Consider the following 11,220-nt stretch of genomic DNA (forward strand, 5'->3'; position numbering starts at 1 on the left):
TCTGCATCTCTTCTTCCCCAGGGAGGCACAGTTCAGTGCCAGGAGAGACTCCGCGGGCTGCGAGCTCTCCCACAGAGGAAAGTGAAAGCAGAGGGAACACCCAGGTTCCTCAGCCTCAGGGGAAACTGCCCACGTCAGCCTCTCAGCACCAGATCGTCGAGGGGACTGGAATGGCGGAATAGTCTTGGAGGAGGCGGGAGCACCGGAAGCTGTGAGCGCTCACAGCAGCCATCACGCAGATCTAACAAAATGGCTGCAGATCTGACCCACAGACTCATGGGAGCCGAATAGACATCTTTCCAAAGACACAGGAATGGACGGCAGGTTTAGAAAAAGGCTCCACATACCTAATCATGAGGAAAACGCATTAAAATCACAGTGAGGCATCACCTCTCTGGTTAGGATGATAACAAAGGCAAACGAAGGTAAGTGCTTCGAAGGGCGTGAAGAAAAAGGAACCCTGGAATACCATTAATAAAAATGCAGATTGGTGCAGCCATTTTGAAAAACGCATAGAGATTCCTCAAAAAATTAAAATGGAACTACACGACACAGCATTTCTCTGCTGGATACTTCGCCAGAGCAATTGAAATCAAAATACTGAGGAGGTGTTGCACGCCTATATTTATTGCACCATTATTCACAGTAGCCAAGATACGAAAACAACATAAATGTTCATCGATGGATGAATGGATAGAGAAAATGTGATATATACCTATCATAAAATATTATTCAGCATTTTTTTAAGCATTAACAAATTTACTTAATTATTTGAGGCAAGGTCTTGCTCTGTCTCCTAGACTGGAGCCCAGTGGTGTGATCACAGCTCACTGCAGCCTCAACCTCCCAAGCTCAGTCAATCCTTCCACCTCAGCCTCTTGGGTAGCTGGGACTACAGGCGTGCACCACCACGCCTGGCTAACCTTCTGTATCCTTGGTAGAGATGGGGGTCTCGCTGTGTTGCCCAGGCTGGTCTTGAACTCCTTGCCTCAGGTGATCCCTCCGCCTCAGCCTCCCAAACTGCTGGGATCACAGGCGTGAGCCACTGTGCCTGGCCAAGGGGTACAACGTTTTAATTCTCCAAGATGAATAAATTATCGATATCTAATGTATAGAATGAAAACTATTGGTAAGAGTACTGTACTATACGCTTGAAATTTGCTAAAATAGTAGATTCTAAGTAGTTTTACCACACACACAAGTGAGGTGATGGATTGTGGTGATTATTTCACTATATATATAAAGTCGTCAAGGTATACATCTTTAATATGTGCCTTAAAAATACTCAAAGTGGAAAAACAAAATGAGTCTGTTATTTAGGTGAGACCTACGAGCACTGCCTCCTGAGCTCAGTGATGGACAAACCTGTGATATATTAAGGGTCACTATCTCTTCTACTATTTTTACTATTTTTCAATATTAAAAAGCACCCCTTTTTACTATTACAGTTATATAATTAGCAGCACATGGAAATTGTTCAGAAACAAGATCGCAACCCTGAAATTCACCATATTTTAATTTTTAATTTGTTGTTGTTGTTGAGATGGAGTTTCTCTCTTGTTGCCCTGGCTGGAGTGCAATGGTGCAATGTCGGCTCACTGCAACTTCCACCTTCTGGGTTCAAGTGATTCTCTTGCCTCAGCTTTCTGAGTAGCTGGGCTTACAGACATGTGTCACCATGCCCGGCTAATTTTGAATTTTTAGTAGAGACGGAGTTTCACCATGTCGGTCAGGCTGGTCTTGAACTCCTGACCTCAGGTGATCCGCCCACCATGGCCTCCCAAAGTGATGGGATTACAGGCATGAGCCACAGTGCCTCACCCATTTCTAAAATATAATATATCTCTAGTAAATCCAACTAAGAATTGAAAAAAAATGTTTAAACATGAATGTATATTTTGGCAATCAAAATATTACCTTTGTAACATTTGGACACAATTCTGTTTCATAGTTGCTTAATAAACTGCTACATAGAATACAACAGATATTTATTAATATTTATGAGTTGTGCAAATACATACAACACTGGGTAAAAAATAATTTGTAAATTCTTCTTTGTAGAGGCAGTATTGTATTTGCAATTTTGATGAAAAAATGGCTTAAGAAAATGTATGTAATTGTACAAATCAACCACTCAATTGAGTAAATGTGGAAGAAATACTTTTTTTGAGACGGAGTCTCGCTCTGTCGCCCAGGCTGGAGTGCGGTGGCGCGATCTCGGCTCACTGCGAGCTCCGCCTCCCGGGTTCACGCCATTCTCCTGCCTCAGCCTCCCGAGTAGCTGGGACTACAGGCGCTCGCCACCAAGCCCGGCTAATTTTTTTGTATTTTTAGTAGAGACGGGGTTTCACCCTGTTAGCTAGGATGGTCTCGATCTCCTGACCTCGTGATCCGCCCGCCTCGGCCTCCTAAAGTGCTGGGATTACAGGCGTGAGCCACCGCGCCCGGCCCCTGGAAGAAATACTATTAAAAAAAAAAGAAAGGGTGCTTAAGACCTGACAAAATGCAATAAACCACTATACTGCGTGAAGTGAGTCAATATCTTAAATAATTTGACCAACAAAATATGTGTGCATCAACAATGTATTTTACAACCAAATACTAACATTCCCAAATGTCCTGTACTGGTCAAAAAAAAAAAAAGACACAGAAAGAAAATTAATTATAATATTAAAAATAGTTTTATCTAATATTTTAAAATTACAGATAAAAATTGGTTATAGTAAACCAAAGAAAAAAACAGTCTACAAAATAATGTGAAGTATTTGATAGGTAGATATGTAAAGAAATAGATGCAGATCAGAGATAGAAATTTTGTTTGATCTTTGAATTCCAAAGATTAGAGACCAGGAGAATTATAGGTATAAAAAAATTAAGAACTTAGTATTTGAGTAAAAGTTAATTCCAAAATGAGTTGGAAGAATATTTGTTAAATACATGGATTTAAATATTTTGACATTTAGTTTAAAAACTAAAACCAGTTTCTACTGGATGCCATTTAGGCAAATAAAAATATTTATGTAAAGGCATATAACCATATAAATTAATATCTAGTAGATTAAGCATATAGAAACAGGTATATATATTTTAAAACATGAGTTGAGGCAAATACTTAGTAAGCAATTTTAAAACATGAGCCATAGAACAATTAAAAATATTACAATATTTCAAATAGTAAAACTTATTTAAGACTAACGACATATAATATGGAACTCAGAATATTAGAAATATTTTATATATCAAAATTGAAAAAAGGAGGCTGTCATTAATATTTTAAGTGCTCATTCTAAACAGTAAAATAAAATATCATTTGTTATCTAAGTAGGGAAATTATGTAAACAAGGATTTCTGTGGGTAAGAAAAAAAGCCTCACAAATATATGTTTTTCTCGGAGATTATCAACCAAATGCAAAATAAAATTTAAAAAAGATTTCTTTAAATTTGAAATCCATTTTTTTGTTACATGTTTAATTTATGGTCATAGCGTCACTGTACATAATTACTATTCTTCTTTTTTTTTTTTTTTTGATGGCGTCTTGCTCTGTCACCCAGGCTGGAGTGCAGTGGCACAATCTTGGCTCACTGCAACCTCTGCCTCCTGGGTTTAAGCGAATCTCCTGCCTCAGCCTCATGAGTAGCTGGGATTACAGGTACCCACCATCATGCTTGGCTAATTTTTGCATTTTTGTAGAGAAGGGGTTTTACCATGTTGGCCAGGCTGGTCTTGAATTCCTGACCTCAGATGATTAACCCGCCTTGGCCTCCCAAAGTGCTGGGATTACAAGCATGAGCTACCGTGCCTGGCCCATAATTACTATTCTTCTTGCAGCTATGGATTTTTATATCTGGGTGAAAATTAAATGAAGAGTAATGGTTTCTCAGTTTGAAATGAATGAATGTGAGATGCGAGTGAAACCTTATATGATACTATGAAGTAGAAGATAGAGTATTTTAGCCATATTTAACTTGACATACTATTTTATAATACCTAAAAATGTAGATGCATTGCAAAAACATTAGGACTTACCAAAACAAGAACAGCATTTTTATAATAATTTTTTAACTGGTTTAATAATTAAAACGTTGTTAAGCTACAATGGGATTTAACTGTCATTAAAATTTGGAAAATACTAGAATCTTGGTAAAGTGTAGATTAGTTTAGAGAAATAGATGCTTTAGAAAATCAAAACCGTTTCTGGAAGGCTATATAATAATGATAACAGTTTGGTCCCAGTGGACAGGGAGAAAAGTAGGAGAGTGAGAAATAAAACCATGCATTTTATGTAGCATATACACACAAACTTATTCAAAATTTTCTTGGAAAGAAAATGTCTTGTGACAAGTATGAGAAATTTAGCAAATTTATAGTAGACATTGGTCAGCAAATCCAAACAAGAGAAAGAAAGGAGCTATGCACGAATCATAAAGGAAACATACAACTAAATTTAAATTCCACTAAACTTAGTTGAGCAGCAGTGAGAACAACAAAATGATGGAAAATCATGGACACAAGAAAATATCTGTGAGTCCTAGACCAGCTGGGACTATGGGTCTCATCTGCTCTTTAAGAATGGCAGTCATTCGTGGGGAAATGAAAACCTCTGTTTCATCTCTTATCAAAGTGATTTGCAGAGAGGCACAATAGTAGGCTAAATGAGGCACATCTTACTTCCTGAGATCCTGGCAGGAAAATCCCCACCCCACGGCTCTTCTGGCTGGGATCTTAGCTGTCAGAACAGACTAAGTGCTCACTGTTTTAAGACTGAGTGGAGTGACAGCTTTAGAACGCTTGATCTTTAAATTCCAACGGATCTGGACCAGGTGCAAAGGTTTGGGGTGTAGCACAGCACTTTTAAAGCTGGCTAAGAGTCAGAGATGCATTTATACCTGAACACATTTATAGTCCCTGATTATCCCTGCTCCCTAAGCCTTGAAAACAGTCACTCACTTTAAAAGGTGAGATTCTATTTGGTGAAGTGAGAGATAGAGTTTACCTTCTTTACACTGGTTCCAGGATTTTCTACGGACATGAAATTATTGTTGCAGTTAAGTGCATGGTAATCCCCAGAACCCATGGGAAAGAGATGGAGGTGTATGGCTTTGCACTTATGACAGAAAGTTTCCGGAGACATATGCCATTGCCAACCAAAGCACAACACGCAACCACCACAGGTAATTTTAAATCTCCTAAGTTGCAGGTGTCATTAGACAGGAAGTGTGTAAGCAGGTGGCAAGAGCTGACACACTCTTAACCCTCATACAAGCAGCAGAGTGAAGACTGTGAGGCTTGGCGTGTTCATTCAGAGACAGTGTTTCGGATGGGGCTATGACAGAAGAGGAAAATAAGAGATGCCAGGCAACTCTTGAGCGGGAAGGCTGGGGCAATTCTATGTCTCAGGAACCCTCAGAAAATATTATTACTTTAAGGGTTTTTTTTTAATGGTCCATGCTGATGCTAGGACTAAACAATAATTTTGTGTACACACCAAGTTTTTTATGATAAACACTCTAATTCCCTGAGAATATGGCTCTGTATCAAAGAAAATTCCTCTTACCAAATGCCATTTCTTGCTGAAGAAGTAGCCTTCATGGTCACAGTCTGGGCACCTGTGCAAAAGGGGACATCTTATCCCTGATATAAAGGTTTGGGACACCATGAGGTCATCTTCTTGCTGACAGGTAATTATTATATCATCTGTGAGTACACTGACAGTATTTGCATGGGGATTTGAGATGCTCTCAGAAAAACATTTTTGAAATGTTCAAATGACTGAGAGCTAATAGTAGTGATTAGATCCATTCAACTGAGAAAAAGAGAGCAAGAGACAGAAACAGAGATAGAAAGAGATAGAGAGAAAGAGAGACAGAAAAAAGATAAAGACAGTATGACAGAAACAGAGAGAGAGAGAGAAAGAGAAAGGAAGGAAGGAAGGAAGAAAAAGAAAGAAAGAGAAAGAAAGAAAAAGAGAAAGAAAGAAAGAAAGAAAGAAAGAAAGAAAGAAAGAAAGAAAGAAAGAAAGAAAGAAACATCTCTGAAATTCTTGGAGAAACCACATGGAAATAAGATATCAGATGAGGACCCTGATGTCTAAGAACTGAGATGAAGGAGGAGGCAATGAGTCTGGATGTGTTTCTTCCCAACCTTGGGGTCTTGCCTCCTGAATGTTATTCTTTTTCTATTCTGAGAACTTTGTACAAAAGGCTGCCTGGAAGGGAGAAGAAAAGAATCAAGTTGGAACAAATTGTCTCTGTGATAGAAATGAACTTGGCAGGAGTGGAGAAACTTTTATTCCCTGTTTCCATAGGCACATGTGAAGTATCTGATCTGTGTCAAACATGGTGTATGAGATGTCTCAGAATAAAGGACATGAAAACTTCCAAAGAGCCTGCCTGTATTAAGTCAATATTGTAGTCAAGAAAAGTGGACATTACACACAATAAATAATAGATAGAGTATGCATTGTGTTAAAAGATAATAAGTGCATTGTGAGAAGGAAAAGAAGTAATGTGCTCCACAGAATAGTAAAAAATTTTGCAAGCAGGTTGTTTGGCTGACTGGAGCTGAAACTCTTCCCCAAGTCTTCAGGCTGTTTGTCCTGCAGATTTTGGACTCACCAAGTGCCAACAATTACATGAACCCATTCCTAGATAGCAAGATAAGTAGATATAGATATGCACATATGTACATATATCGGTTCTGTTTCTCTGGAGAACACTTACAAATACATAATTTGATCATAGGAATGATTCTAGATGAACTGAATCTTAATATGTTTTGTCTACTGTTTCTGAGGTTTATGGAACTGGCTGTCTGATTAGATTTAAAGACATTAAGACAGTATGACAGAAACAGAAAGAGAAAGAAAGAGAAAGGAAGAAAGGAAGGAAGGAAGAAGGAAGGAAGGAAGTCTGTGATAGTCCGTGGCATGATGTGGCATTAGGGGTACACCACTAGATGCTCCTAATCCTACACTTATAAGGAACGAGAATCTGGGTGGCCTTGCATACACCTTTGAAGATTGTTGTCAAACTATTAAGTATAGTATGTGTGGCTGTTTTGTCATTGGATAAAGAGGTAAAGAAAAAGATGAGCCCAGAGATTAGAATTTCCAGTTCAAGCACCACTACATAAATATCTGAGGTTTCTATGTGTGCCCTGAAAGAGACTCTTATCATCTGTAGCTGTAGGGGTGAGATTGCTGAAAATCAAACCGAGAATCTCATCCTTGAAGTGGCTGTATTACAATTCAAGCGGAGTCCCCAGCCTCACAGGGTATCTACTGTTCAAGTAATGCCATTGGTCAGGAATGGGTGAGATCTTGAAAGATGGAATGAGGATGTATATTAAGACCCTGATACAGCTGAGGATATCAAGCCCCTAACTTTGAATGAGTCTTCTTTGCCAATAGAAGCATCCTCTCTATCTGCAAGGGAGGAGATTAACCCTGTACTGTCTGAGGAAACAATACTGGCCTCCCCTGAGGCAGTTGCCATGCAAGGCTATGCTGATTCTCCTTAGGATACATCCTGACCAACCCTCTTTGCTTCTAGACCTATAACTAGATTCAAGTCTCGCAGGCCCTGAAAAGTGTGTTACAAAGTGTGGCTCATGAGAAGTTGTGCTACACTCCAAAGTAATTTATTTATTTTTCTAATTTATCCATACAGAAGTCTGAGGAACACGTGTCAGAGTGGATATTAAGGGTTTAGGATAATGGTGAAAAGAACATAAAGTTGAGTCGGACCGAATTTATATATATAAGCTCACTAAACAGAGATTGCACATTTAATGTTGCATCTTGGAGAACCGGAAATGATTCTACCAGTTTGTCTGGTTGATTGGCTGAAACATGGAGCAAAAGCTGGCCTGCAGTAAATAAACTCAAAATGCCAGACATGCCTTGGTTTGCTGCAGAGGAATTAACTTAAAGGCTTAGGAAGACTGTAATGTTACCATGCATGTATCAAACCTAGTAACCCACATTGGAAGCATCAGAAGATGTATCTTTCAACAATATTGCAAAGGGAGCTCTGGCATCCTTGAGGAGCTCTGTGATTTCTCTTCTCTGGAAGCTGGAACCTACAGTGGAACTGCTGAATTTTAAAAAATCTAAATGTAATGGGAGTAATTTGGCCCCTACCTCTTGGCCCCCAGAGAGACAGGGGCCAAGTAGAGGAACTCAGCCACCAAAGGCAAGGTGGGTTTGGTTACCATGATGGACAGCAAAGTCAAACCAGCGATCGGAATAGTCCCGCAGACTTATGGTGTTGGCTAGTTGATCACGGCATTCTAACAAGGGAGATAGATAGGAAACCTACTAAATTCTCACTTGATCTGTATAAGCAGAAAATTTCTATGTCAAGTGAACAAAAGTCAACCCAAATCATAAAAGCAGAGAGCCACAGTCTCTCAATCAATGGCTAGCACTGAGTCAGTTCATAGAGCCAGAATCCCCTGAATTAAAGGGATCCCAGGCAGGGTTCCCGTGAGGGCACTGTCCCTGGTACACTACCAAGAATATATACTCTTAATCTTTCTCCTGGACTTTGGTTAAAGGGACCTGCAGCCTTTTACAATGGCAATGGAGCCTTGGGGAAAATAATCAGATAATTTGGGCATTACTGGAAATGGGGTATGAACTGACATTAATTCCAGGAGACCCGAAACGTCACTGTGGCCCTCCAGTCAGAGTAGTGGCTGCTAGAGGCAAGGTGATTGGTGGAGTTTGAGCTCACGTGTTCCATAGTGAATCCAGTGTATCCCTAAACCCACCCTGTGGCTGTATCCCCAGTTCCAGAGGGCAACATTGGAATAGACATATTCAACAACTATCACAACCCCCACAGTGGTTCCCTCACTTGTTGAGTGAGGGTTATTAGAGTGGGCCCAGTGGGAGCCACTAGAACTGCCTCTTCCCAGCTAAACTGTAAACCAAAAGCAGTCTTGCATTCCTGGAGGAATTCCATATATTGGGACTTGAAGCGTGCAGAGACAGTGATTCCCACAACCTTGCCATTCACCTCTCCTATTTTACCTCCACAGAAGACGCAGGGATCTTGGATAATGATATTAGATTATTGTAAGCTTAATCAGATCCAATTGAAGATGTTGTAACAGATGTGGTTTTGTAGTTTGAGCAAATTAATACATCCCCTGATACCCAGTATTCAGCCATTGATGTGTTAAATATTTTTTTCTCCATCACTGTTAATAAGAACCATCAGGAACAGTTTCCTTTCATTTGGCAAGGGCATCAGTACACCTTCACAGTCCTACCTCAGGGTCTGGGAAAGCACCTGGGGGTTGTGATCGGGGTCTCAGTGGCCTTCAGCTGGTGCTCTTCCTCCTCTTCTTTCTCCTCTGACACTGGCCTCAGGGCCAACACAGGACATTGGGTGAGTAGGAAGTTGGCGGGGAGACCCATGGGCTGACTGAAGGTGGGGTCAGGGCACCACCAACCAGACAGATTCCAGATGGGAAAGTTCAGCTCAGAAAAACGGCTCCAGCATTTCCCAGTGAGAAAACCTAGAAAGAAGAGAATAAATGTGAACATACATGAACATACCTTATTCTTTTGGTTGTTTCATCTAACGACGTTTTTAAAACATCTATGCAAGTGTGTTTTCAGCTTTCCTTCTTTTCTCTTGAGTTCTCTGTGCAGGGCAGGTGGCTCTCATGATCCCAAGGCTGAAGCTCTGTCCCTCTTCACCCAGCCCAGAGGGAGGCTGATTTCCAAAGTCCTGTGGGGACTGTGGAGTCAGAGAACGACAGAGGCCTGTGGAGGAGGTAATTCTGCCCGAAGACCCCAGACGCCCACCTACCCCCACAACCTCCTCACTGGCCCTCACACTCCCATGTCCTTCCCCGGGTCCAGCCCAGCTGCTGATGTCCAGGAAGAAAACTTCTGTGACAGGAAGAGGGGGGCACCTGAGGGTGGAGACAGAAGCCCCAAAGTTTCGGTAGCAATGATAGCAGGGGAAAAGGCTGAGAAGGGCTTGGGACTCTTTTATATAATATATAAATTAATATAAAAATTAATTCACCTTCACAATGTCTGTCTAATGCATTTCAACAACTGTCTGTGTTTTCCTCATGTATCTTGGTTGTCATTCCTGTGGGGCGGCTCCTCCCACGCACCTGACCTTTCATAAAGGGTTTCTCCCACGGCTGTCCAGGCATCAGCCTGATGAAGGGGATTGTTGCCGCTGCTCCTCCCCACTCCCCCAAACTCAGTGTCAGCTCAAGATTGTGCCCAGCAGGGATGGGACCAACGCCAGTCTCACACTCACCTGTGGGGCAGAGCAGACGCCCATGTCAGACCACCGTGGATTGAATCTGTTTCTCACACACAGGGGAGGGGCTGAGCACTGACCATGGCCTCCAGTGAGTGAGCAGAGACCCCCCAGCGCCTGTCCACACACACAGGGGAGGGGGAGCCACAGCTTCCAGCGTCACCCAGAGCCCTGACCCCTCCCTGCCTGGGAGGACGTGGGGTTCCTCTTCTGTCCCACACGGAGGTGGGAGCCTCCTCCTCCCTAATGACCCTGGGTGGTCCCAGACACCTGTGGCCACTCAGCATTGAACTCTGCTCATGGAAGGGGATGCGTCTCAATGTGAGGAACTGTTCTTCCTCTTTCTGTGCCCGTGGCTGTGATGATCTGCATATTTCAGATGTATCACAAGGAGAATTTCATGGTATTTGGAGCCGATGTGGGCTCTTGAGTGGGGGCGTCAATCATCCTCCTGGACTGTGGAGCCCAGCACCAGGATCCTCTCCCGTCCCCACCCTCCTGTCTGAACTGGTCTGGAAATTCACCATGGCTGAGCCTCCCATGTCCTGGGCACCACTGACCCCCACAGCCACTGTGATGAGTGGGGTTCACGACAGCAGGCTCAGAGGTGACATTCATGTCCAAAGTCACATAAACCCTGGATGATAATCAGGAATTAAATACAAATCAGCTCACCTTCCCCAGAATCAGATTACAGACCTAACAAATTCTTCTGAAAACTCTGAACATGGACGGAGGTGCCGAGGGAAGGCCAAGGACGCAAGGGACACTGAGGGGGCGGGACCGACTCAGAGCCTCATTCCCGGGGTGGGGGTGGGTGATGTTGCAACAAAGAGAAAAGGGGAAGTACAGGAGAGGGACGGTTTGGTAGGAAGGAAACACACACTCTCAAGACAGAACAAATATGTTTTATTATAGTTAATCCCT

At 42.0% G+C, this 11,220-nt stretch overlaps 2 long non-coding RNA genes across 2 annotated transcripts; one reads left to right on the plus strand and one right to left on the minus strand.

The window, feature by feature from the left end:
• Positions 1-210: 210 nt before the first annotated feature.
• On the plus strand, positions 211-9,945 carry LOC105372461 (uncharacterized). The gene is made up of 3 exons (XR_936073.3): positions 211-425; positions 5,015-5,172; positions 9,651-9,945. It is a non-coding gene; the product is annotated as an uncharacterized LOC105372461 (long non-coding RNA).
• LOC107985347 (uncharacterized) lies at positions 7,624-11,061 on the minus strand. The gene is made up of 2 exons (XR_002958419.2): positions 10,969-11,061; positions 7,624-9,526 (listed from the first exon to the last, which is right to left on the minus strand). It is a non-coding gene; the product is annotated as an uncharacterized LOC107985347 (long non-coding RNA).

The sequence above is a fragment of the Homo sapiens genome, chromosome 19, assembly GCF_000001405.40.
Source record: "Homo sapiens chromosome 19, GRCh38.p14 Primary Assembly".
Lineage (NCBI taxonomy): Eukaryota > Metazoa > Chordata > Mammalia > Primates > Hominidae > Homo > Homo sapiens.